The sequence below is a fragment of the Homo sapiens genome, chromosome 3 (genome assembly GCF_000001405.40).
Source record: "Homo sapiens chromosome 3, GRCh38.p14 Primary Assembly".
Lineage (NCBI taxonomy): Eukaryota > Metazoa > Chordata > Mammalia > Primates > Hominidae > Homo > Homo sapiens.
Genome location: NC_000003.12, coordinates 40,741,818 through 40,769,766, shown reverse-complemented (window position 1 = coordinate 40,769,766; position 27,949 = coordinate 40,741,818). Strand labels below are relative to the sequence as shown.

The 27,949-nt window shown below is 42.5% G+C and overlaps 1 long non-coding RNA gene and 1 pseudogene across 5 annotated transcripts in view, besides 1 other annotated feature; both read right to left on the bottom strand.

Moving 5' to 3' along the window:
• The window catches only part of LOC105377043 (uncharacterized), a 191,504-nt gene that overhangs the window by 141,596 nt on the left and 21,959 nt on the right, over positions 1 to 27,949 (bottom strand). For 4 of the 5 annotated variants that reach the window (XR_007095885.1, XR_940766.3, XR_007095884.1 and 1 more), the window contains exon 1: positions 3,415 to 3,560. The exons of the other annotated variant lie outside the window; for it this stretch is intronic. This is a non-coding gene — a long non-coding RNA (uncharacterized LOC105377043). Of the gene's footprint in view, positions 1 to 3,414; positions 3,561 to 27,949 lie in introns of those variants that run through there. 5 annotated transcript variants of the gene reach the window in all.
• Positions 1,083 to 1,283: a silencer, noted in NCBI's record as "peak4616 fragment used in MPRA reporter construct". NCBI's record gives its function as "represses an SCP1 promoter by STARR-seq MPRAs in K562 erythroleukemia cells {active_cell/tissue: K562}" and the evidence as "EXISTENCE:reporter gene assay evidence [ECO:0000049][PMID:32103011]".
• On the bottom strand, positions 7,911 to 8,255 carry RPS27P4 (ribosomal protein S27 pseudogene 4; annotated as a pseudogene).

Genomic DNA, 27,949 nt, shown 5'->3' with positions numbered 1-27,949 from the left:
CAGAAAGAACACTAAATCATAGTGACAAAAAAAGCACTAGTGTTCCAGCTGCTCTTGCACTCATGGTTGTGTGACTTCAAGCAAATCTCTTACCCATTCTAGGACCCCAGCTAGAAGATTTCCAAGGTCATGCCTGTCTTGAAAATCTCAATTTTCTGTCCACAAAAGCCTTGCAGCCTGACAATTAAATCCAAGTTATCACATTCAGTCACAGCCTGTGAAAACGTTCAGCCCCAACCAGAGTTCTGAGAAAGCAGAGGTTTGAGAAAGCACCAATGTTCACATTTGTTGCCCCTGCCCAGTCTTTCCCTGCAAGGTGCTACTTTGCTCAGGCAAGTGTTGCCCCCAGAGTGCCAAGCAGTGTGCTCCACTGCTCTCAGGCTCCCTAGGGTGGGCATCCTGGGTGGGGCTCTCAGCCCACTGGCCCACAGGCACCAGGCTCACTGCCTTCCTCTAAGTCCTTGGCAGGTGTATCAAACATTAATGAGCCATGTAGTCTCAATCAAGGAGGGCTATAAAACTATGCATTTTCTTTTAATGAGTTATGCAGTTAAAACAATAAGCTGCTTAAGCTCTTCATTTGGGGTAGGATGATGCATTAGGGCAGACTTAATTGTTCTCCTACCTCCCGCCCTTTCCCTGAACAGCCTGGCAATGACCACTGATTGCTGGTTGAACTTTCTGGGCACCTGGTCATAAAAAGTAAACCCAGGCTTTCCCATGGTACTGGAAAGGGCAGCTGGTGTAGAGGAAATCCATGAGGCTCACTCGCAGATAAACTAATGTAGTGGGCATCTGTGGGTTTATCTTCTAAGTAGCCAGATGCCCTTTTGTCAGAAACAGTTCCCAAATTTTCCTTGGAAATCTCACACCTCCCCCTTCTTAATCCCAAAGGTTTGAGACAGTGAGGCCCACCTGATCCCAGCCAAATCAGCATATTTCATAACTCCAGTCCAATGACTAACTCAGAGATGAGCACATGACCTAAGTCATCACATCAGAGTTTATCCTGGGACTTCTACTGAGTCAACCAGGAAAGAGACACTTTGTTTATGCTAAACCTGGAGCTGTAAGGATGAGCATGTGAAGTTTCCAGGAGTCACCATGACAGAGAGCCTGCCTGAGAATGAATGCAATCTGAAAGGCAGCGGAGCCAAGAGCAGGGGAGAGGCAGCTTCTTAGGGACATTTTTCAAGGGCCTTGATCCAATTGTCCCTGATAACTGTGCCTACCCTTAGGCTTTTCAGGGATGTAAGCCAACAAATAACCTTTTTTCCTCAAGACATTCTGTGTCTTGCATCTGGAAGAATTGGGTCTAGCATATTTGTGTTCACGTTATACCCACTCCTGCCACAGCTAACTGCGTAACCTTAGGTAAAATCCTGACTCCCACCCTCCAAGACCTCCACTCCTGCTGTGCCTCTCAGGGGCCTCTTCCAGTGGGGACATTCCACAATTTGAGTCCCAGGGCTATATCACCCTTCAAAGAAACTGCAGAAAATCCCAGGATTAAGATTCTGGATCTGTTAATTCTCTTGGTACAGCCCTTATCTCTGGAAGGGCCATATCATCACCATGCTTGACTCATGAAAACTCAGAGGTGCTTTGGAAAATCTCATAGCAACCTCTTCCATTTTTAAGATTTCCCTTACAACTCCGAGTATAAAATCTCATGCTGCCATAAATACCTTTTATTGCTTGTCTTCAAATCATGGCGTGGAAAGCCATCAGAGTAGCAGGAATTCATTATTTCAGTGAATAATTGGAAGGCCCAGACCTTCACTGAACATCACTGTAAGAGAAGGGCAGGGGACTTGGAGTTTTTCCATGCCCATCCCCCATGTGGTCCACCATCTCTCCTGCTCCCTCAAGTAGCAATATCCTGTCCTCTTTCAAGGTTCACTTGCAGATAGCACCTTTCTGAATCCAATCCATGTTCTCCTGGGCAGGACCAGATGTCTTCTTTGTTGGAGGTCCTCTTCCTCTGTCTCAGGAATCCAGAGAGTGAGTAGGGAGTCCAAGGTCACGAGTACAGCCCTTCAAGGTCATCCTGTGACCTAACCTGCCATCTTTGTGTTTCCTTTGTCCCAAAGTAGACCTGGCCACCTTGGTAGACCTGGCTGTATGTGTGTGGGTGTGTACAAGCACATACACATATGTGTGGTTCTTTTTGCTAAGAGACCTGAGCACAGTGCCTGAAGACCTTCCCACACTATCAGAAGGTTAGGAGAAAGGTATAGGTTGGGGTCATGCTTCTCATAAAAGTGCTATCTGTTTATAAGCATGTGATTGGTTGCCACTTGGATGGGAAGTTACTTCGTTCCTCCTGCCCCATGAAAGTGGCTGAAAGTTCCTTGCCTGACACCTGACCTGCTGCCAAGCTCTCTTGGGTCTCCCAAGTTTTGTGATGACAGGTCCCTGTGCCAGGTCACCCTTGTTAATTCCCTAACATTTCAAACAGAAATGCATCCCAGGTTGTACTTCCTTTCAAAACATGTGTCACCCTAATCATATAGAAAACTGGTGGACACAAGGTTTGATCACATTTTTATATCCAAGCTCTGATTTTAAATCCAAACTAAGGAGACACTAATGTATGGAAACTTGAGGACCCTCAAAATCACTTTTTCCCTTCTTTGTAACTTGACCTTTAGTCTCTTCCAATTTTTTTTCCTCTTAACCTTGAAAGATCTTCTAAGTTCATGTTAACTTAATTTAACATGTTTAATAACTATATGCCGCTTCTGTCTTTTTGGGAGGAAGAAAGCTTGTGAGTGTCCCAAGCTCGTTGTCCTATGTTTAGGGTCTTCTCCACCATTTTATTTCTCACAATAGAAGCCAATAAGCCATGCAGGTAGGGCACAAGCCAGTGGTCAGGGCTTGGTCACCCACACTCTCTAGACTTTCAGTTGGAAGTTGGCCACCCAAAGAAGCAGAAACAGAGGAAAATTTCTTTTGATGATGGTGGGGGTGGTGTGAATGCAGAATTCAGAAGCCAGTGACCCATTCACATTAGCAGGGGCATCCCCCATTACACACCTATTTCTGTGGCACAAAACTGGCTGTGGTTCTGTCAGTGAAGCTACCATCTATCCACATACAACCCCAAGCCTGAGTCTCTAGAGCTCTCAGGGATCCTGTCAGCTACCCAATATTCTTTCAGTGAATTTCTTTTCCTGGTCATATCACTCAGAGTCTATTTCTGTCATATGCAACTAAGAGCCCCGGTCGTGAACCTGCTACTGCTTTCTCTTCCTGCCTCCCTCAACAAAAAACCCCTTCTGTCCATTGCTGGCACAACCCTTCATGATCTGGTCCATCTCCCCTGAGGCAGCACATATATCCTCAGCATCCCCTCTGGGGTCCCACCATACCCAGACGTATCTCACATCACACCAAATTAGGAACACTTACCTGTCTGTTTTGTTGCCAGAAGTATCACCCAAGTCATTGATAGAGAAGAGATGATACCTTCTACCCCATGCCCATCCACAAACTCAACCTGTTCTGCAAGGCTTTTCTCTGTGGCACTGAACTGGGGGCAGCTGGGCGTTTGTGTCAAGGTTGGTAGAATCGTCTGTACTTTATAGCAACTCAAAAGAGAAACAGAAGTGGCTTGGCTTACAGACCTAAGAACTCTGCTCAGAGTCCTGAAATGAGTCCAGCTTACTCACAACCCAACAGTATTCAAGCCAAGAGTCCCAAGAGATCCTCTTATTACATTTTTGGGCAAAGTGAGACCTACCAGGAAAGTGGTTTACTCTGAGTCACATGTCGAGTTAGCAGCTGCTGATTTTAGAACTTTGGAAACCCTCAACTCAGTTAATCAAGCATTTGTCACACCCTATCAACCCACTAAAATCCTTTTCTTCTTCTTCAAGCCTTTCTTTTTCTTCATTTAGACAGATCTATCAATTAAATTCTCTTCTTTCCAAGGGCCAAACACATCTCTTTTCATAAAAATAATTTTTTAATAAAAAAATCTTTACTAGAGATTATCACATGTATTTTTCTTTCTTATCAGCCTTTGCATATTCTTTTTAGGGCCCGATCAAAGCTTCAGCTTTTCCAAAGAAGGAGCAAGAATGGATCTTCTAACCCAATATCCTCAAGATTGGGAAGAGTGTCCGGAGTCAATAAGGGAGGCTTAGCTAATGTAGAAGCCTGGGTGTTCCACTAACCACTAAGCCTCACCAATTCAGAGACCCAGCAAGCATTTGGTCAATCTGATCCACATAGATGGATGGGTTTGATAATTCAAGCTAAGAACCACCTGCTCTGATTCTAGAACTCTCTGAGGACAATAACTGCTTCTGGTTCTTTAGAGAAATTTCAGGAGGAGACTGAGGATAAAGAAGGGATGGAATGGGAGGAGGGAATGAAGAAGCAGGCCAAAAGCCCTCAGCTTTTTCTTTTGGCATCTGGAAAGCATGTTACAGCAGTGGTTCTCTGCAAGATAAGAGCTGGGACACAAACGAGAATCTTACGCAGGCAAGGCAGGGACTCCTAAATGCTCCTGATGCATAGGCATCCCACCCTCCCAGTGACAGTGAGAACCACCATTCTGTGGTATTGGCCATATCCAAGACTCAAAATTCTTCATTCTATTCTTGAACTGTTCATCTCATGAACAGATGAGTCCAGGGTAGAATGTCCAGGGCTATGAACCAATTCACTTTCTTAGATCAAGAGTGAAAAGATGTCTCCATCCACCCAACTTTGCAGTTGATCTTTCCAATTGCTTTGGAGAGTTTCAGTGGGAAACTAAACGCCTGAATTACTGGTTAATGTATTGTTTGTGTTCCACTTGCTCCCACAAAAGACTCAAAAGAACTTACAATAAAAGCACACAGGGTAGTTTGGGAAGACTGCAATAAAGATAAGAAAGATACTGGGTATTACGTGGACAAAGAGGATCATTGTTTCATTTACTAAGGAAGAGAGTTGCTTTAATCAGGAGCTTTGAGCTTCCTGAGATGGGGGTAAAAGTGAAACCTTGTGGGTCCTTTAGAACCTTATTGATCAAAAAATGTTTTATCAAGGGAGATAAGCTTTAAAAGATCAATAAATATAGATACAACTAATTCTTTTAAATGTTGGCATACTCTATAGTACGGATGGCTCATAATTTATTCAATCAGTCACCTATTGATGGCTTTCAAGTTGTTTCAAGTTTTGCTTAATTTTTCTTTCTGGACCACTTGAGCAATACTTCAATATCTACGATACATTATCAACAGAGAAAAGCTAGAAGCAGAGACACTTATTAACTCCATTTTTAAACAATAGGCATAAAAAAATTTACATATATGTATATGTGTTTGTACATGTTTGTATGGCCTGCAGAAATATGTGAAAGGAAACACCAAAGTTCCCAATATTTGCTATCAAGTAGAATTAGGTTTGATCATAAGCAACAGAGACTGGAACAACAGATGACATAAACAAGATAGAAGCTCATTTCTCCATATAGCAAAGAAGCCTAGAGCCAGGCAGTCCAGTATAGTGGCTCTACAAAGTCACCAGGGATAGGGCTTCTTCGGGGTCACCACTGCAAAGTCCCATGATATAGTCCTCATCCTCATGGCCTGGCTATTTTCCTCATGGTCCAAGACGGTTGCTAGAGTCCAGCCATCATATTGACATTCAAAGAAGCAAGAAGGAGGAAAAGATGCTAGAAAGAAAGTCTCGCTTTTAAAGGAGGGCTTAAGAAGCCCCATGTGACAATTCCACTTACATTTCATTGCCCAGAACTTAGAAAGATGACCATATGATATTGCAAAGGAAGCTGGGAAACGTAGTCTTTTATTTGGGAAGCAATGTACCAGCTAAAAATATGGGGTTTGTTAAACTAAGATGAAGAGTCAGAATGGACACTGAGAAGTCTTCAGCAATCTCTACAAGTTAACAGTTGATTTGAAGTATGAATAAGGAAGTGACATTGTCAGAGAAGCGAGGAATGGAGAAGCAAGCAGGTGGAAATGGTTAAACTTTTTTCTCTATATATGTGTTACTTTGTATTACTTTGTTAGTTGTACTGAGTAATATTTTTAAAGTAAGCTTGGAAAAGTTTAAAATTTTTTTAAATGTTTTAATTTTATATTTTTAATTTTTGTCAGTACATACTAGGTGGATATATTTATGGGGTACATGAGATGTTTTGATACAAGCATGCAATGAATAATAATCACATCATGGAGAATGGGGTATCCATCACCTCAAGCATTTATCCTTTGTGCAGCAAACAATCTAATTATATTATTTTAGTTATTTTTAAATGTTCAATTAAGTTATTATTAGACTATAGTCACTTTGTTGTGCTATCAAATACTAGGTCTTATTTATTCTAATTTTTGTGTCCATTAACCATCCCTACCTCCCCATGCCCCACCACACCTCTACCCTTCCTAGCCTCTAGTAACCATCCTTCTACTCTCCATAAGTTCAATTGTTTTGATTTTTAGATCCCACAAATAAATGAAAACATGCAATGTTAGTCTTTTTGTGCCTGGCTTATTTCACTTAACATAATGATCTCCAGTTACATCCATGTTGTTGCAAATAACAGAATCACATTCTTTTTTATGGCTGAATAGTGACATTTTCTTTACCCATTCATCTGTTGATGGACTCTTAGGTTGTTTCAAAATCTTGGCTATTGTGAATAGTGCTGCAACAAACATGGGAGTGCAGATATCTCTTCGATATAATGATTTACTTTCTTTTAGTTCTATAACCAGCAGTGGGATTGCTGAGTCATATGGTAGCTCCATTTTTAGTTTTTTGAGGAACCTCCAAACTGTTCTGTATAGTGGTTGTACTAATTTACATTCCCAACAACAGTGTATGAGAGTTCCCTTTTCTCCACACCCTCACCAGCATTTGTTATTGCCTGTCTTTTGGATACAAGCCATTTTAACTGGGGTGACATGATATCTCATTGTAGTTTTGATTTGCATTTCTCTGATGATCAATGGTGTTGAGCACCTTTTCATGTGGCTGTGTGTTTCCCATTTGAAGTGTCTATTTAAATCTTTCATTCATTTTTGATTGGATTATTAGAGTTTTTTTCTTGTAGAGTTGTTTGACTTCCTTATATACTCTGGTTACTAATCCCTTGTCAGATGGGTAGTTTGCAAATATTTTCTCCTATTCTGTGGGTTGTCTCTTCACTTTGTTGATTGTATCCTTTGCTGTGCAAAAGCTTTTAAACTTGATGTGATCCCATTTGTCCATTTTTGCTTTGATTGCCTGTGCTTATGGGGTATTGCTCAAGAAATTTTTGCACAGACCAATGTTCTGGAGAGTTTCCCCCCAATGTTTTCCTGCAGTAGTTTCATAGTTTGAAGCCTTAGGTATAAGTCATCAGCCAATATTGATTTGACTTCTGTATATGGTGAGACATATGGGGTCTAGTTTCATTCTTCTGCTTATGGTATCCATTTTTCCCAGCACCATTTATTGAAGAAACTGTCTTTTCCCCAGTGTATGTTCTTGTTACCTTTGTTGAAAATGAGTTCACTATAAGCATGTGGATTTGTTTCTGGGTTCTCTATTCTGTTCCATATGGTCTATATGTCTGCTTTTATGCCAATACCATGCTCTTTTGGTTACTGTAGCTCTGTAGTATAATTTGAAGTCAGGTAATGTGATTCCTCCAGTTTTGTTCTTTTTGCTTAGGATAGTTTTGGCCATTCTGGGTCTTTTGGGGTTTCATATAAATGTTAGGGTTGTTTTTCCGTTTCTGTGAAGAATGTCCTTGGTATTTTGATAGGAATTACATTGAATCTGTAGATTGCTTTGGGTAGTTATGGACATTTTAACAATATTGATTCTTCCAATCCATGAACATGATATATTCTTCCATATTTTTGGTGTCCTCTTCAATTTCTTTCTCAGTCTTTTTTTTTTTAATCCAAAATGTGTTTATTGAGATGGTTTCCCACTCATCTTGACTCAGAGTGCTTTTAGTGCTGCTTCCTCCTGAAGGAACATCCTTCTGTAAGCCTTGCTTTTCCTCCTGTAGGCTGGCAGAGGACAGTGGAGCAGCCAACACACAAAACTACCGTTTGTGCATGGCTAAAGACCGTGGTGATTTTATAGCATCCTGGGCATTTCACATCCATGAAGTAGGAATTGGGGCTCTGCACCAGGCCTTTCTTCTTGTGTTTCCTCTTCTCCTCTTCTGGAGAGGGATGAAGGAGATCCTTTGCGAGAGGCATGTTCTCGTGTGGGTAGGTCGTCACTGCCGGAAAAGCCTTTCTCAGTCTTTTATAGTTTTCATTATAGAGCTCTTTCACTTCTTTGGTTAAGTTAATTGCTAGATACATAATTGTATTTGTGACTATTGTAAACAGGATTACTTTTTAAATTTTTTTCAGATTCTTCATTCTTGGCATATAGAAATGCTACCGATTTTTATGTGTTCATATTGTATGCCACAGCTTTACTGAATTTGTTTATCAGTTCTTTGTGGACTAAGAATTTTGTGGAGTAAGGTTCTTCCAAATATAAGATCATATCATCTGCAAACAAGGATAATCTGACTTCTTCCTTTCCAATTTGGATGCCCTTTATTTCTTTCTCTTGTCTAATTGCTCTAGCTAGGACTTCCAGTACCATGTTGAATAACAGTGGGGAAAGTGGGCATCCTTTGTTGTGTTCCAGATCTTAGAGGAAAGGCTTTCAGTTTTTCCCCATTCAGTGTGATACTAGCTGTGAGTTCGTCATATATGGCTTTTATTATGTTGAGGTATGTTCTTTCTATACCCAGTGTTTTGAGGGTTTTTATCATGAAGCAATATTGAATTTTATCAAATGCTTTTTCAGTATTAATTGACATGATCATATAGTTTTTGTCTTTCATTCTGTTGATGTGATGTATTACATTGACTGATTTGTGTATGTCATACCATTCTTGCATCCCAGGGATAAATCTCACTTGGTCATGATGAACGATGTTTTTAATGTATTGTCGAATTGGGTTTACTAGTACTTTGTTGAGGATTTTTGTATCAATATTCATTAGAGATATTTGGCCCACAGTTTTCTTTGCTTTTTAAATGTCTTTTTCTGGTTTTGCTATCAGAGTAATACTGGCCTTAAAGAATGAGTTTGGAAGCATTCCCTCCTCCTCTATTTGTTGGAATCGTTTGAGTAGGATTGGTATTATCTCTTCTCTAAATGGTAGAATTCAGCAGTGAAGCCATTGGCTTTTCTTACTGGGAGACTTTTATTTATGGCTTCAGTCTCTTTACTTGTTATTGAACTGTTCAGGTTTTGGATTTCTTCATGGTTCCATCTTGGTGGGTTACATGTGTCTAGGAATTTGTCCATTTTGTCTAGATTTTCCAACTTATTAGCATATAGTTGATCATATGGTATCAGTTGTAATGCCTCCTTTTTCATGTCTCATTTTGTTTATTTGTATCTTCTCTCTTTTTCTCATAGTCTGGCTAAAGATTTGTCAATTTTGTCTGACTTTTCAAAAAACCAACTTTGTTTCATTAATCTTTTGTACCGTTTTCTTCATTTCAATTCCACTTATTTCTGTTCTGACTTTTAATATCTCTTTTCTTCTACTAGTTTGGGGTTTGGTTTGCTCTTGCTTTCCTAGGTCTTTAAGATGCATCATTAGGTTGTTTATTTGAAGTTTTTCCTCTTTTTGATGTAGGCACTTATAGCTATAAACTTCCCTTTTAGTACTGCTTTTGCTGTATCTTATAGGCTTTTGGTATATTGTGTTTTTTATTTTTTTTATTATTATACTTTAAGTTTTAGGGTACATGTGCACATTGTGCAGGTTAGTTACATATGTATACATGTGCCATGCTGGTGCGCTGCACCCACTAACTCGTCATCTAGCATTAGGTATATCTCCCAATGCTGTCCCTCCGCCCTCCCCCACCCCACAACAGTCCCCAGAGTGTGATGTTCCCTTTCCTGTGTCCATGTGATCTCATTGTTCAATTCCCACCTATGAGTGAGAATATGCAGTGTTTGGTTTTTTGTTCTTGCGATAGTTTACTGAGAATGATGATTTCCAATTTCATCCATGTCCCTACAAAGGACATGAACTCATCATTTTTTATGGCTGCATAGTATTCCATGGTGTATATGTGCCACATTTTCTTAATGCAGTCTATCACTGTTGGACATTTGGGTTGGTTCCAAGTCTTTGCTATTGTGAATAATGCCGCAATAAACATATGTGTGCATGTGTCTTTATAGCAGCATGATTTATAGTCCTTTGGGTATATACCCAGTAATGGGATGGCTGGGTCAAATGGTATTTCTAGTTCTAGATCCCTGAGGAATCGCCACACTGACTTCCACAATGGTTGAACTAGTTTACAGTCCCACCAACAGTGTAAAAGCATTCCTATTTCTCCACATCCTCTCCAGCACCTGTTGTTTCCTGACTTTTTAATGATTGCCATTCTAACTGGTGTGAGATGGTATCACATTGTGGTTTTGATTTGCATTTCTCTGATGGCCAGTGATGATGAGCATTTTTTCATGTGTGTTTTGGCTGCATAAATGTCTTCTTTTGAGAAGTGTCTGTTCATGTCCTTCGCCCACTTTTTGATGGGGTTGTTTGTTTTTTTCTTGTAAATTTGTTTGAGTTCATTGTAGATTCTGGGTATTAGCCCTTTGTCAGATGAGTAGGTTGTGAAAATTTTCTCCCATTTTGTAGGTTGCCTGTTCACTCTGATGGTAGTTTCTTTTGCTGTGCAGAACTACAAACCACTGCTCAAGGAAATAAAAGAGGATACAAACAAATGGAAGAACATTCCATGCTCATGGGTAGGAAGAATCAATATCATGAAAATGGCCATACTGCCCAAGGTAATTTACAGATTCAATGCCATCCCCATCAAGCTACCAATGCCTTTCTTCACAGAATTGGAAAAAACTACTTCCAAGTTCATATGGAACCAAAAAAGAGCCCACATTGCCAGGTCAATCCTAAGCCAAAAGAACAAGGCTGGAGGCATCACACTACCTGACTTCAAACTATACTACAAGGCTACAGTAACCAAAACAGCATGATACTGGTACCAAAACAGAGATATAGATCAATGGAACAGAACAGAGCCCTCAGAAATAACGCCGCATATCTACAACTATCTGATCTTTGACAAAACTGAGAAAAACAAGCAATGGGGAAAGGATTCCCTATTTAATAAATGGTGCTGGGAAAACTGGCTAGCCATATGTAGAAAGCTGAAACTGGATCCCTTCCTTACACCTTATACAAAAATCAATTCAAGATGGATTAAAGACTTAAACGTTAGACCTAAAACCATAAAAACCCTAGAAGAAAACCTAGGCATTACCATTCAGGACATAGGCATGGGCAAGGACTTCATGTCTAAAACACCAAAAGCAATGACAACAAATGCCAAAATTGACAAATGGGATCTAATTAAACTAAAGAGCTTCTGCACGGTATATTGTGTTTCCTTTAAGAAATTTTTCAATTTCCTTCTTAATTGCTTCATTGACCCACTGATCATTCAGGAGTATATTGTTTAATTTCCAATTTATCTTGTGTTTTATTTCTCATTTTATTCCATTATTATCAGAGAAGATACTTGATATTATTTCAAATGTTTAAAATGTTTTAAGACTTGTTTTGTGACCTAACATATGGTCTACCCTTGAGAATGATCCATGTGCTGAGGAAAAGATGTGTATTCCACAGCCATTGAATATGTTCTGTAACATATTACCTGCACTACAGAATATGTTCTATACTGCAGATTAAGTCTGATGTTTCTTTATCAATTTTCTGTCTGGATGATCTGTCCAATGCTGAAAATGGGGTGTTGAAGTCTTCAGCTTTTATTGCATTGGAGTCTATCTCTCTCTTTAGCTCTAATAACATTTGTTTTATATATCTGAGTGCTCCAGTGTTGGGTGTATATATATTTACAATTGCTATTTCCCCTTTCTAAATTAACCCCTTTATCATTATATAGAGACCTTCTTTGGCTCTTCTTATGATTTTTGTCTTGAAATCTATTTTGTCTGATACGAGTATAGCTACTCCTGCTCTTTTTTGGCTTCTATTGGCATGGAATATCTTTTTCCATCCCTTTATTTTCAGTCTAAGTGTGTCTTTATAGGTGAAGTGTGTTTTTGTAGGCAACAGATCAGTAGATCTATTTTTTAATCAATTCAGCCATTCTATGTATTTTCATTAAAAACATTTTAATAAGCATAGTAGGGACAATTTTTCCATAGATCTTTATATAGAACTCATGGAACAGCTTGATAAGCCAACAGCTTCACCAGGCTTAAAAAGGCAGGAAAGTTAAAAATGAAGGGCTGAGACCCTTTTAGGATCCTCATGGGAACCCTCCATTGAGGCACAAATGCATGTGGAGAGGCTGGTTATGAAAGGAGCTGAAGTTTGAAACAGAACTGAGTGTAGGGAGGGAAACACTGGCTACTCATAATCTGAACTCAAAACTTCTTGGGAACCATTTGTCTTTCCTCACCTATAGGTCTCAAGAAGATGATCAGGGCAGCAGAAGTCCTTCAAGACAAACTGGAAAATGTGGGGCTTGGGAATGTTACGATACCAGGTTCAGAGTTCATCACCAAACTCATTGGTGTCCCAGAGAAAGCAAGTCAGATGGACATGTGTGACCCAGTTCCCCATTTTACAACTGAGAGCAGTCTAGGGCATGAAAGGTTTCACCCAAAGGCCCCAGCTATTGGTAGCAGAACCTGTATTAGAACTCACACAACTTGATTCCCAGACAGCACCCTCCTCCCTGCTCTGCTCCACAGTCCCTTTTCCTCACAACAATCCCCAAGAACATTTCCATGGAGAAAAGCAAGAACACTAATTCTTGGGTTCTTGTTCTGAAAACTGTGACTTCCCTATGGGTCCAAAGTGGAACCAAAGGCTAATTGGTATTCTCCTACTGGTTCCCATTCAGATGCTCCACTTCCCAAAAGATAATAGAGTATGTGGTAACCTGGGGTTCCAGAAACAACCCTTTATTAATTTCCTAGGGCAGCTGTAACAAAGTACCACAAACTAAATATGTCAAAGTCATCAATTTTCTCACTGTTCTGTGGGCTCAAAGCCTGAGATCAAGATGTCACCTGGGCTGTGCTCCCTCTGAGACACTGGGTAGAATCCTTCCTTGCTCTTTCCTAGCTTCTGATGGTGGCTGCCAACCCTTGGCGTCTCTATGCTTTGCAGCTGTGTCATTCCAGCCTCTGCCTCTCTTGTCACATGGGGCTCTCCCTGCATGTCTCTCTTCTCCTCTTTTATAAGGACACTAGTCATATTGAATCAAGGACCTACCCCAGTCTAGTAGGACCTCATCCTAATTTACATCTTAACTACATCTGCAAAGACCCTAGCTCCAAATATGGTCACATTTAGAGGTACTAGGGTTACAAATTCAACATATCTTTTGTGGGGGCCATAATATAACCCATATCAGCCTCCTTTAGGTTTTTCCCTAAAAGCTTTCTGGGCCCGCAGCATCTCAGTCAGGCAGGGCCACTGTATTAGTTCATTCTCACTCTGCTAATGAAGACATACGTGAGACTGGGTAATTTATAAAGGAAAGAGGTTTAATTGACTCACAGATGAGCATGGCTGGAGAAGCCTCAGAAAACTTACAATCATGGTGGAAGGAGAAGCAAACACATCCGTCTTCATGTGATGGCAGCAAAGAGAAATGCCAAGCAAAAGGTGGAAAAGCCCCTTATAAAACCGTCAGATCTCATCCAGGCACGGTGGCCCATGCCTGTAATCCCAGCACTTTGGGAGGCCGAGGCGGGTGGATCATGAGGTCAGGAGATCAAGATCATCCTGGCTAACACAGTGAAACCCCATCTCTACCAAAAATATAAAATATTATCTGGGCGTGGTGGTGGGTGCCTGTAGTCCCAGCTACTTGGGAGGCTGAGGCAGGAGAATGGCGTGAACCCAGGAGGCGGAGCTTGCAGTGAGCCGAGATGGCACCACTGCACTCCAGCCTGGGTGACAGAGCGAGACTCCGTCAAAAAAAAAAAAAAAATCAGCTCTCTTGAGAACTTACTCACTATCAGAAGAACAGCAGTATGGGAGTAACCACCCTTATGATTCAACTACCTCCCACTGGGTTCCTTTCATGACACATGGGGATTAAGGGAACTACAATTCAAAATGAGATTTGGGTGGGGACACAGCCAAACCATGTCAGCCACCAAAGGGATCACACTTCAAAGGAGTCCACTGTGGGCATAATTATAAACAGAAATACTTAGAATTTCAATAATAATAATGAAAAAAAGAAAGGTAAGGTGCTTCAAGATGTGCCCCACTCCAAAGCATTGCCCCCCAGGGCAGTCACCCAGGGGTGGACCTGACCTCTTCCTCAACATTGTCAAGGAAACACCAACAGCCTTGTCAGTGTGCACAGGATCCTTCCTGCAGTCAGAGGCAGGACAGGGACAGTGTCTCCTTGCTGTGAACAGAGTCCCTCTAGCTGTCTTGGTACAGAGGGTAGAGTTTCCCAGCCCTGGCAATCCTGAGGGGTGAGGAAGAGAATGAAGTCAGATCAGGGAGTGAGGGAATTCCCCCAAGCACCACAGCATACAGGTTTATGAGATAGAGTGAGAACTCTCATGCCCTGAGCTCTCGAGCAGTTGCCAGACTAAACAGCATGGGCTGTACTCCTAGCCAACCACATGGCTTTCCCCAACCGTGGGCCTCAGTTTCCTTGCCTTCCAACTAAAGGAGTTTGGTCTCTAAAGTCCCTTCCCAATTCAGTAGTTCTGAGCTCAGAGTAAGAGCAGGAGTCTCTTGGGGGGATGTCTCCAGTGGGTTTTGCTGGAAGCAGAGATAGAGAGGATGATTCAGGTGCACGGGAAGGAGAGAAGCAGGACAGAAAGGGAAGGGGCCAAAGACATCTGGTCTCAAAATATTTAGCCATGGCTTGAGTCTAAGGGGGCTTTGGAACATAAATCCCACCACAGAGGCAATTAAGGGCTTTATAGCCCTTTAACATCAGTAAGTTGTCCTCTGTGGGCTGCCTTAGATGAGGGTGTGCATACCTCCTGGGTGAGGTGGCCCAAGGTTAATTCTCCAGAGAAAGGGGGCTGCTATGAGTTATCAGAGCCCCTCACAGTAGCTAGAGGAGGGGAGAACCACAGCCACCATTGCCAGGGAAATGCAAACATTAATTCTCTCAGGCCTCCACCTAGAGGAGACTTGCTGAGAACAGAAGAGAGATCCTGCTTTCTGTAAAGCCCTCCCCATTCACTCAACTTATTTTATGGAGCCCCTGCTACCTGCTAGGCACTGTTCTGGGTGTTGGAATATAATACCTGGCTTCCCTGAAATCACAACAAACAGTCTGGTTTTGGTACTTCTCTCAAGAACAGCTGGATTCCTGCTCCAGTGAGACCCTGCCCATGGAGGAGCTAACAATCAGCTGTGCTGGGAAGCATCTACAAGGCTGGGGAGGATGAGAGGAGGAGCAGCTCAGGTTTGCACATGTTGGGTCGTGAAATGCCTGCAGCACATTCAAGCAGAGATGCAGTAGCCACACTGGTACAATTCGGAGGCAAGTCTGGCTCCACTCTCCAGGAGTTTCTGGCCAGGAAGCCTGCTGTGCAGCCAAATGTAGCCTCCATATGTTTGAGCAAATTCCACTTGGCAGGTGGAGAGGGAACATTTGCTGGGCAGGCAGTCTTTTGCCTTCAAAGCCTCATGTGCCTCCCTTCTCACCTTTTAACTTGCATCTCTACTCATCTCTGCTGCCCCTACCACAATGGGAGCTTCTCCAAAGGGCCTCGGTGCTCACACTTGGGAAGCCTAGGACCAGCTTTCATGCCCCTAGAGGCTGGAGAGGAGGTGGTGTGTGGTGGGGACTGTGAGCCTCAGAAGCGGGGACAGATCTGGGTCCTGCCAGGAAGTGGACATCCAGCAGTGAGGGAGGGGCCACAACAGAGGGGGGCCACAGCCCTGTGAAGCCAGAAGGAAGTTAAAACAGGTTGTTTAATGTTCCTTTTTCAAAGTTCAAAGTTATTCCTCATCATAGAATGATAAAGGGGATGCTTTGAGAAGCAGAGAAAGTGGCCCAAAGCCAGCATCATGTTAGTGAGAGGTGGACAGGCTTGGGGGACTGGAGAGGATGTCCCTCATAAAGCACCCACTAGCATGAAAATAAGATGCCCTTGCTGGGAAAATGAGATGCTATCTAGTGGGTTCATGCATGGCAACAACTTCAATTGCAAACTGAATGTGTGGATGGCTCCAAGCCAAAGTATCAACTTCAGCCAACTATCACAAGCTCACAGCTCTGTCTCTTTCTCTCCACCTCTCCCTCTTTCTATACACACACACACACATATGTAAAATGTATGTGTATATGTGTGTGTATATACACAACCACACACACATACATATATGTGTATATGTGTATTTTTTTTCTCTAAAATATGGAGAAGACTACTTTCCATCTTGCGGAGAAAGACCCAACAGCAAGACTTCTATATGGTCACTGGTGCATATTTTAAAATAGTTGTGTCATACCAGGGAAAAACAAAAGACTAGACAGAGAAAGGATATGGTATTGGCCCCTGAATTAACATTTATTGGGCACTTAACATGTTCCAAGCACTATGCCAAGCCCTTTCCTTGCATGATCTCAGTCCCGCAACAACCCCCGATACAAGGCTTATTTGCATTCCTCCTTTTACAGATACAGAAACTGGAACACAGAGAAGGGGGCTAACTTGTCTGAGATCACACAGCCAATACATGTGAGATTCCAAAACTCAGTCTCTAACCACTTTATTGTAGACACAGATTCCAATTTAGCCCTGCCTCATACAGTCTTCAAAAGTGTGTCAAAAAACAACTTTTATAAGTGAAGTCCAGGGATAAGCAGAAGAGAAGGGCTGGGTAGAGAGGGTGTGAGGATGGAGAGGGTGGAGAGAAAAAATGACCCTAGAAAAATGAAGCCAAGCTGAGGGACTGCATTCAGCCAGACGACTAAGCTCTAAGCTTCCTGGGAATGGATGCAAAGGATAGGCAGGGAGTGGTCCAGCCCTCACCTAATAAGAGTGTCATAATCCAATTAGTCGCAAAAGAGGCTTTCGCAGCCCCAATTCTGGGGAATCCATGGATTTGTTCTGGAGTCTTCCTTATTTAAGGAGCATGATTCAGAGCCACTGTTGTTGAGGAGGAAGAAGAGAGTAATGATGCTTGTTGTGGCTGGTGTCTTAGCCCATTTGGGCTGCTATAATAAATTACCATAGACTGGGTGGCTTAAACAACAACCATTTATTTCTCACAGTTTTTGAGGCTAGGAAGTCTAAGACCAAGGTGTCAGCAGATCTGGTGTCTGACCTACTTCTTGGTTTGCAAATGGCTATCTTCTCGTTGTATATTGTCATGGCAGAGAGCAGAGAGGGAGAGCAAGCTTTCATATCTTTTCTGGGAAAAAAGGAACTAATCTCATTCATAAGGGCTCTGCCTTCATGACCTAATAGCCCCAACGGCCGAGCCTCCTAAAACCATTACATTGGGGGTTAGGATGTCAACATATGAATTTGGAGGAGACACAAGCAGTCCATAATAGTTGGTGTTTGTTAAGAAAGCCTGCCTTGCTTCAGGTGCCTTGGTGCAGGATTAGGGAGTGGAAAGTGGCTACTGCCTGAGGCTGCAATTCATGAGCACTCCATGGACATACCTGTCCACATGTATGTCCCATTGGAATAAGACAGCAACTTAACCTTCTCCCACTTCCCTCTGATCTCTCCCGCTCTGCCCCTTCTCCAGCCCACACCAACACCCCTGCAATGTTGGTGTGGTCTGGCATTTTAGGTCCACAATGTTATGGACATGTGCTTAGGTCATTACTTATCTAGGCAGTCATAAACTGTACTGGATTATTTCTTCACCTTTACTCCTCCCACATCTCCTTGCTTCCTCCTGGAGACACCTTCTCAGGTTTTTTCAGGAAGGCACTTTACATAGTATGTATCTGTGACTTTGTATCTCTGGGCATGCCTTTTTTTCTATTCACATTTAAATGACCATTCAGGTATATATATATTCTAGATGTACTGATATTTTCCTTCCACACTTCGGAGACATCACTCCATTGTCTTCCTGCTTTCCAGGTGGCCATTGAGAAGTTTAATATCTATTTTAAATGAAGTATTTTGCATGAAGCTGCATTCTGTCTCTGGAAACTTCTCTGTCTCTGATGTGTTTAAATATCAATATAATATGTCTAAGGGTGTGTGTGTGTAATTCTGTCCCGTTTGGTGCACCATCCACCTATCTAATCAGAGGCCTCAATTATGTCATTAATTCTGGAAAATCCCCAGTCATTAGTTCCTCAAATATGTATTCCCTTCCCTCCATAGACTCATTTCCCTTTTGCTGGAAGTTTTAGAAAAAAAAAGTAAACACTTCCAATTCTAACCTCCATATTGTTTTCTCTCATCTTTTCCCATCTCCACGCCTTTCTGCTACCTTCTCTAAGATGAATGACCTACATGTCTGTCTCACTAATTTGTGCTGCTGTCGAATTCCCTATGTTCTTCAACCCGTCCATTAAGTGCTCTATTTTAACAATTCTACTTTTGTCTCTATTACCTCCAATTAGTTTTCTTTTTTTTTTTTTTTTTTTTTTGAGACAGAGTCTCACTCTGTCACCCAGGCTGGAGTGCAGTGGCGTAATCTCGGCTCACTGCAAGCTCCGCCTCCCGGGTTCACACCATTCTCCTGCCTCAGCCTCCCGAGTAGCTGGGACTGCAGGCTTCCTCCTCCATGCCCGGCTAGTTTTTGTATTTCTAGTAGAGACGGCGTTTCAACGTGTTAGCCAGGATGGTCTTGATCTCCTGACCTCGTGATCCACCCGCCTCGGCCTCCCAAAGTGCTGGGATTACAGGCATGAGCCACCACAGCCGGCCTAGTTTTCTTTATAACCGCTTATTCCTACTTCCTGATCTCCCTGAGGATATTCATGATGTTTTTTTAAATTATTATTCTATTTGTTCCATTATTTCTGCTCCTCCTGCACAAGTTGCTCCTTTTGTTGGGTGTCTTAATAGCACACACACTCCTCTCAGATGTCTCCCTGAGAGTACCTACCCTGCCCACTTTGGGACTGTCAGCTGACAGCTAGGACTGCCACCTGGCTGGGAATGGAGAACACTCACCAGTGCTCCTCCAGGGCACCTCTTCAGGGTAGAGTCTGTAGAGCACACTCTGGGCTTAACCCCCAGGCAAGCTTGCCCCCCAGAGGGGACCACCCTCTGCTGAAGTGGATGACCCTCAGGGCTGGGTTGGGGGACCATCCACTGCTCTGCTATCACTCTAGAATCTCTCTCTGGCAGGATCCCTTCCTGCCCTGTGGGAGAGGGACCCAGTGGGCAATCCTCCACCCAGGAAATGTGGGAGAAAAAGGGCATTGCTGCCACCTGTGGCCCCAGACCTGCCACTGTTACCCCACACGGGGACCCTACCACCTTCAATGTCCTAGGGTTTTCTCCTACCATCTGTGTTGGTTCCTGAAATCCAGACACTTCTTTTTTGTACCTGTGGCATTTCTGGTTTTGGGCATGAAAACAGCAGCCCATGCTGGTCCAGAACCTGCCTCCGTTTCTGAGGCTCCACTCTTATGCATAAGCATGACCCTGCCCTCCAGGCCCTTCTCAGAGAACACAGCCTCCAACAGCCAGTTGGAGCTGCCCAACCTCCACCCAGGGCCCCCCAGAACAAGAGACATTTATGAAAACAAGCTGGAATTTCCCCAGGGCTTCTGACATCTTTGAATGAAACCAGTCTCCAGAAAGCTGATCTTGTCCCCAGCTCCCACTCCCTATCCTCCATTGGCCTCCAAAGAATTGCTCTGGGAAGCTGCTGCCCACCCCAGCAGTGAATGATACCTCTGAAATCTTACACCTGAGAAATTTCTTTTAGAGTCAAGTACCAAAATCTTTACCCTCCTAAAAAACAGATATATATTGTGTTCTGTCTGATAAATAAGAAATGTATGACTGATTCTTTTTCCCTTTCTACTTGGGCTGTCATAAAGTTCAGAGCCAGAATTGAGGCAAGATTCCAGCACTTACATGGAGACACTGATAGCCTGTGTATTTGAATTTCTTTCCTTCCTATTCCTGACTTCTTATTATTAGGTCTTGTTGGCTTTTCTGCCTATTTTATTTATGCTCTGATTGTCCAAAAAAAAATTAAGCTCACTTTTAGAGACCCCAAAAATAGGAAAGAAAGAGAAAAAGCAAAAGAGGTGATTGTTTATATTCTTTAGACCTGAATTTTTAACTCTAAGCTATATTTTACAATTTTATTGTATGTGTTTCTTTTGTACGTTAACTCAATTCCACTGTGGAATGAGGCTGAGTATATAAAAATAGACACAAAATAAAAATACATAAAGTCTGTGGAGCATGTCTTTGTGAGTAATCCTATGAAATACCAAGACGTTCCACAGATGGCCATTTATTACATTAAGCCTTAATGAAAGTCATGGTCTACCAATCAGTGGAGTGCCCCTGATTTGCAGCTGATCACAAAGCTTATATAAGAATAATAATGACACCTGCTCTGGCCTACTGGTGTTTGGGCAGATACATTTCACAGGATCGAGAAGGTGCCATTGTTTACAACATTTGTCCCTACTGAAAACTAGTTTATTATTCAATGAGGGTGCTCCCAAGCCTTTGTGAGCAAGGTGTGTGCTTGTTAAGGGCAGAATTTGCACTAAACAGCTCATGCTCTTTAAGCAGTGGCTAAAGCAGTGGCTGCCTGGAGCACAGGGCGCCAGTGAGAACATAAACCAGCCCATGGAGGAAAGCCATAACCGCATGTGCAATGATGGGGAGCAGCTCTTAAAGCCACATGAAAATTTCAGGCACCAGTTGGAGCTCTGTGATTTTCCTAGGCACAGATACATCAAGATACCTGGGTGACTCACAGTTGCCCTCTAAAAGCTTGCTTTCTCCTGCAGATTGGCATGGAAAGTACCAATGAGCTGCCTAAAATCATGCTTCATCCCAGCCTTTTTTCATAGCTTTCTGGACATGCGAATAGGTGGAAGCCTGTGTGAAGCTGAGCTAGAAACAAACGCCCTTTGGGCACTAGAAAAATCACTCCTTGAGGAGTTTAAGAGAAACAGGCAGCTACTCCATGCTGACCATGCAGACTTTCCAGGAACTTTCTCAAATGAAATTTCTTCTTCCTCAAGGCTTAGGTTAGGAAAGGCAGCCAGGAAGAGTCCATGGGTACTCAGGCAGGTGTGTAGGGTCTGTGTGTTCTAGGTCCAGATTTGCCCCCATTCACTGGTCTGAGCCTTTCGTTTCTCTGTGCCCTTTCTTATCTGCTAAATGGGGATTATAACCACTGCATGGAAGAAAGGCTTGAAGACTTGAGGAGAAATGGTGAAAAATTCTACTCTTCTCAAAACAGGTCCATATATAAAAATCATTCTTATTGCTTTGAATAAGTGATAGGGGAGATAGAAATAAAGTCCCATGGAAACAGAACTACACATCAGATTCTGAATTCAGTTCACAAGGAAAACTTCTTATGGGAATTGCTCCATAAACTGGAGAATGCTTTCAAAATAAAATCATCCACTCTTTATTGATCTGTCATGTTAGTTTATAATTTGGCATTCTACTTCTCCTTAAAGAGAGGCAGAGGGGTTGTACATCACATGAGGACTTAGACCCATAGAGGTTTGTGGAAACAAAGTGCTATGGGTCTGTGTGCTTTGGAGGTTAAGTGTGCTCAGAATCTGGCAGCAAATCTCTTTCTAGCTGAGCCTTAGTTTTCATATCTGTGAAACAGGAATAATATCCACCAAATAAGGTTGTTGTGAGGGCTAAGGGAAATAATGTAAGAAAAGCACTTCAGACAGTGTCAGACCCATAGTAAATGCTCCATAAATGATAGCAATAAGTATTCTTGTTAGAGTAGGAAGGCCCCATCACCATTATTCTCTCTATCTCATTCTCTCTCTCTTTCTCTCTCTCTCTCTCTCTCACACACACACACACACACCAGGGTCAGGATTAGGGAAAGGCAAGCTGAGAATCCAGGGTGCAAAATCACTCCCAGGTCTGTGCAAATCTGAGAAGGAGTGCCTAATTAAATTTTGCAACCTAGACACTTGCCCTACTCTTGACTCTGATGTACACACACACACACACGTCAAATGAGAAAACGGAGAAATTTAAGGAAACTGGATCTCACAGTTTGCACATGGGAACACTGAAGGTTCCAAGTTAGAGCCTCCTCCTCCCTTCTCCCATGCTCCACTCTCCTGGGTCTGAGTGTGGAGATTCAAAGAGAGGGCAACAAAGCCAGATAATGTGAGCTTGTTCCTGCAATCATGCCAATAATTTGCAGAAGAGAGAGACGGTGACTTCTGGTGCACCTAGAAAGATTTATCCCACTGGAATTCTTCTACTACCTGTGAATGGACCTTACTTTAGAAACTGACCCCACTGGACTTTGAGCAGGACTGGTGCCCATCAAAGGTGCACTCATAGGGCCTTCTGGCCAATCACACAAGGGTCCTTTTGGTTGGTCTCACTGGTTGTTAAATAGTTTGATATTGACCTGTGCAGAAGGTTTCCAGAGCCCATAGAGAAATGCGATGACTTGCCCTCAGTAAGGACAAAAAGCCTAATTCAGCAGGTGAGGGCATCCCTGCCTCTTTACAACTCCTCCTTAGAGCATCTGCTCTTGATCTCAAACTCCACAGCCCTAGATCCAGTGCTCCCTCCACTTCTCATCCAGGAGAAGCTAACCATTCAGCTTCCCACCCTTTTGAAAAGCCTGCATTCTCGTATGCATGGGTGCCACCCATTGTCTCTCCTGCCTTTCTAGCTCTGCTTAGCATGCGGCCTGGAGGTCTCATCACCAGCTCCAGAGTGAGCCCTGATCCAGACAGGGTCATGTTAGGAACTCCAGCCCACCAGCTGATGGTATCAGGAATTAGCCTTACTGCTCTGAAGTCAACCAAATACAACCTTCTCTGATCAAAATCATGACCACCCAGTCCCTAGTGAGGTTTCTGCTATTGTTTGCTGAGAATACACCCATTACCAGGCTTCCTCCTCCCCACTGGGCACATACATAGCCCAAGTGTGAAATCAAGGTCCAGTCCCTAGGGCTTGACCTTGATTTCAGTCTTGGACTGTGCCAACTCCAAACTGGAGGTCTTGCTTTGGCTTCTGCCAAAAGCTGACCCTGAGGCAAAGACCGGGGGAAGGTAGTTTGGTTGGAAGATTATCTAAGGAAGCATAACGAGAGAGTAGGGAAAGGAGGCAGGAAGGGAAGAAAAGTCTAGAAATCATGGGCTAATGAGCAGGTTACCACTGCAGGCACCTGGAACTCAATCTGGCCAGGAATCCTCAGAGAGACAATGTAGAACATATCCCTTAAAACTCAGACACCAAGAAGGGAAGACGCTGAGATATTCATCCACCAGGGCTAAGGATTAATCTTGGGAGAGTTAATTCTCAGAACTCCTACTCTCTCCATGTGCTGGCAAGTTACTTCTGTGGCCAAGAAAGCCTTCAGGTGGAGAGAGGTGCAGGGGCTCAAGATAAGAAGGCACCAGGGTACAAACAGGGTATCAGGAACCATCAACTGAAGCTACAGTTGACCTCCAGGGTGGCAGAAGTGATACAGCATCAGAGTTGGCAGCACCTGCTGTCACGAACAAACTTCCTGGAATAATAAAGTGTTTTTCTGGGCTTGGAAGAGCCCTTTCTACCCTGAGCCTTTATAATGTTAGGTTTTCCCCTCCAACCTCTCCTCTACCACCCTGGTCTTGATTTTTCTCATCAAGAGAGAAAGTGAGAAATTGAGAAAGGACAAAGTAATAAAGTCAGACACAATAGTGGTCTACAGACTTCCCTTCCACATTCCACTTTCATTTCAGGCTTCTGTCTCAGGCTGGGCTCTCCAGAAGATACCCTGAGATGAATAATTGTATGTGCTAGTCATTTGGTAAGGAAATACTCCCAGTGAGACTTTAAGGAAGATGGAGAAGCAAGACTGGGAAGGGGAGGAAGACAAGGAAGGATGTTATCTCAGGCAAAGTCCCTCTGGGGTGGCCTCTGCCTGATCCCATGGGGAGCTCTGGAGTGTAAGTTACATCTCAGAGTTGTCCTGACCCAGAGGCAAGAGAACTGGGTTCTCATCTTCCTGTACTGATGAATCACTGGCTCAGGGCCACTCCAGAGGGATGTAAATTCCCAGGCCTTTCCGGCTTTCCACAGTGTGGGCAAAGTGACCTCTACTAGCCCAACTGTAAGTGCTGGCCATTGAAAATAAAAGTGTGCCTAAACCATGGCAAGGGGATTTGATGGGCCCTGGATGGGGCATGAACATTATCTGCTATCAATTGCAGATAAACTTTCATTTTAACAACAGGTTCTGCTGCTTAAAAAAAAGTTTGGATACTGCTGGATTAAATAATTTCAGGGGTTTTTGTTTAACTCTCAGCGTGAAAGTCTCTAATTCTTCAACATAGAACTTCAGATCATGTGATTTTGGGGACTGGGTGCTAAACTATCCCATTAGGACTGAAAATAGTTCCTAAATCACACCCTAAGAGTGCCTGAAGCAAAGGCCCAAACATAGCTGGTTGCAGCAATTTCCAGCTCAGAAAGATCTAGTCACAAAAATGTAAGAATTACTGAATCTATCCATCAGAGATGACACACAGAAAAGTAGGCATTGCGGCTGGTCCCCACCCCCACCCCCATCACTCTTTCCTTTTCTAGAGATTTTGGCTAATAAAAGAAAATGAGTAGGTGTTGGTTCCCATGTTGCAAAATTTTCTTCATTGGTAGTATGTATTTTTATTTCATTTCCATTCAATAATTCTTCAGAATAACTCTTAGATATGCAAAAATGAGAAATGAAGATGAAATTATGAGATGTTAAAAGTATCTAGTCCTCTCTCACTCTGGGTACAACTTGGAGGTTGAGGTAAATTTTCTTGATCCTTTAAAGGATAAAATGAATATGTGGGGAAGTCCCCCAAACCATCAAAATATTTACCTTAAGTTTAAAAATATTTAGTGAGTTCACCATCTCATGCCTGTTTAATCCAAAGGTCATATTGCATGACACAGTCATGTTTCCTCAGGAAAAAAGAGGGACTTCAGAACCTACATTGGAAATATCATATGTTTTTAGTTCTTTGGAAACATTTCATCACAGGCAAATAGAATGATTTAGAGGAGTTTGTTCATTTTGACTGTGCATGAAAAGTAAGCCTGTTCTTTCTTCATTGCCAACAGGAGATAATACGTGAAACACATAATGGAATGTCAAAACAAATTAATTTCCTGGTCCGGCTTGTAAATACAGTACTTTGTGTAAGCAACAGCAAAAAACCATGAAAAGTGAGATCTTCGTGATACTAATTTCACTCACCCATTCAACAGGTAATTACTGCAGGTCTTCCATGTGTCAGCATTGTCCTGAGTGCTGGGGACATAGCAGTGAACAAATCTCCAAGATGCCTTCAAACCTTGAAATATTCATCCCGTTATTTTCTGAATTTGGCATACATATTGGAAAAATGTTTCCATTTTTAAATCTCTGCCTGCTGTTCTGATAAATATTGTTCTCCCAGGTTCCCAAAAAGAGAATTAATTTGGCGAAACAAATCAGTAGTTGTTTCACTCATTGTTATGGTAATAGAGAAATTAGGTTTTTAATTAAGGCTGAGGAAGGATGGAAGAGTAGTAGGCAAATAAGCACCTACATGGTTTGATGCAGACATGACAAGTCTCCTTTTTTGCCATAGTGTCTAAAATTCTGTCCATTAGAGCATCCTGTAGGTTAAGGCAATTTATCCAGGAGGCCTCAGTTATGTGCATTTTCTGCCTTGGAAAATGTATGCACTATCTTGGTGTGAATAAGGTTTTAACATCAGCCACTTTTAGGAAGGTATACGGCAGGTATCGCTGTTTTACAAAAGAATGAACTGAAGCTTAGAGAGGTTAAGCACCACGCTCCAGGTCCCACAGCATAAGATGGAATCAGGATTCAAATCCAGGCAGTTAGATTCCAGGTACTCTGTGCTTTTAAACTGAATTAACTTTCAACACTTAAAGAAGGGGTCTGGATTGTCCAGTGCATTTATCACGCACCTTTATTTTTTGAAATCACTACAATATTTTAAATTACACAAGGAATACAGGTTATTTGGAATTAGAACACAAGGAGAAAGAAAAAGGAGGAAGAGAACAATAAAAAATAAGAAGAGGGCCAGGTGCAGTGGCTCACGCCTGTAATCCCAGCACTTTGGGAGGCTGAGGCAGGTGGATTGCCTGAGGTCAGGAGTTCAAGACCAGCCTGGCCCAAATGGTGAAACCCTGTATCTACTAAAAATACAAAAATTAGCCGGGCTTGGTGGCAGGCACCTGTAATCCCAGCTACTCAAGAGGCTGAGGCAGGAGAATTGCTTGAACGAGGGAGGCAGAGGCTGCAGTGAGCTGAGATCACACCACTGCATTCCAGCCTGGGTGACAGAGCAAGATTCTGTCTTGAAAAAAAAAAAAAGAAGAAGAGAAATAAAGCAATGCAAAAGAAGCACACAATCTGCTCTATTTCCACTGCCCATAGAACACACATTCCCAGTGGAGGCGATATAACCCCAAGAGACAAAAATTGGTCCCCATGGGGAGGAAAAAATTACTCTTTTTGTATATAAAGCACAGATGTTCATATCATACATAAACAGATAGATATACAGAATATTGGTGGTAAAAATTTCATCTGAGAATAAGATTAGGAAAAACAGTGTAAAAAGGCTTTTTGGAGGAGAAAACTAAAAAACAAAAATTGAGAAATACTGCCATAGATATAGATTTTAACATATTGTCATGTATTTGTAAAAGTAGTTTGTATAGTTTCTCCATCAAGCAGATAGAAGAAAACCTTCCCTACTCTTGCAAACTTGTTGCTAGGTTTAAATAAGATACTGTTGAGGGAAATGACTTTGTGGAGCTTACAGAGCTTTCCTTATCACAAGACTATAGCTTTTTAGATCGTATTGGCCAGCCCTAAATAGGCCTAAATAGATTTTGATCATGGTCTGAGTATGAGGAGGCCATGGAATACAAGATCTCACAGTGAATTCCTTTACCTTGTTCTAGTTCTTGTGCCAAGTCCCCATACCCAGGGTCCAGTTCACAGAATGAATGTGCTGGGAACTGAGGGGGGGACTGTTGGTTTAAATCAGTAACAGGCAACTGGCAGCAAAAAACCTTGAGACAAGGTATAAGGGACATTCATCTGTTTTGACCATGAATTTTATTAGAGATTTTTTGTTTTGTTTGTTTAGGTTGTTTTGTTTTTTTAGAAGAAGATGGGGATTTTCTGTTCAGCTCAAGCCCTCCAACCACGAGGCTGAAAGTGAGTACCTATCTGCAGCCTGGAACTTGGGTATTAGCAGCCATGGTTCTGCACAGAGCCGTTCTCACCTCCTTGAACCATGAGTCCTGCAGAGTGTCCTGAGAGGGGCTGGATGTGTAATTTCACCCTTCCCAGGTAAGTCACTCCAAGTACATAGGCAGTCTTCCTTCCCTGTAGCCACACTTGATGTCAGTCTGGTGTTTTTGGGGGGCCTTTCCCACTGCCCTCACTGCAGGCCATTCTTGGATCCATCTCAGCCCAATTCTGGAAGAGCAGTGCAAGAAAACATTCTGGTGTCTTGTGAAACTTGTTCAGCTGGGAACTTGGCTACAAGGGTTGCTATGGTAACCTAAGCAGCTGCACTTGGGGGAACTGTGCTTCCTGTTGGAGTGTGGGATGTGTTTGTGTTTGCACATGAACGTGTGTAGCACAGAGGAAAGGAATGACATCACTACCAAGAAGGGGCTAGTCAATCCATGTAAGGCCCTGGGATTATCCCATAAG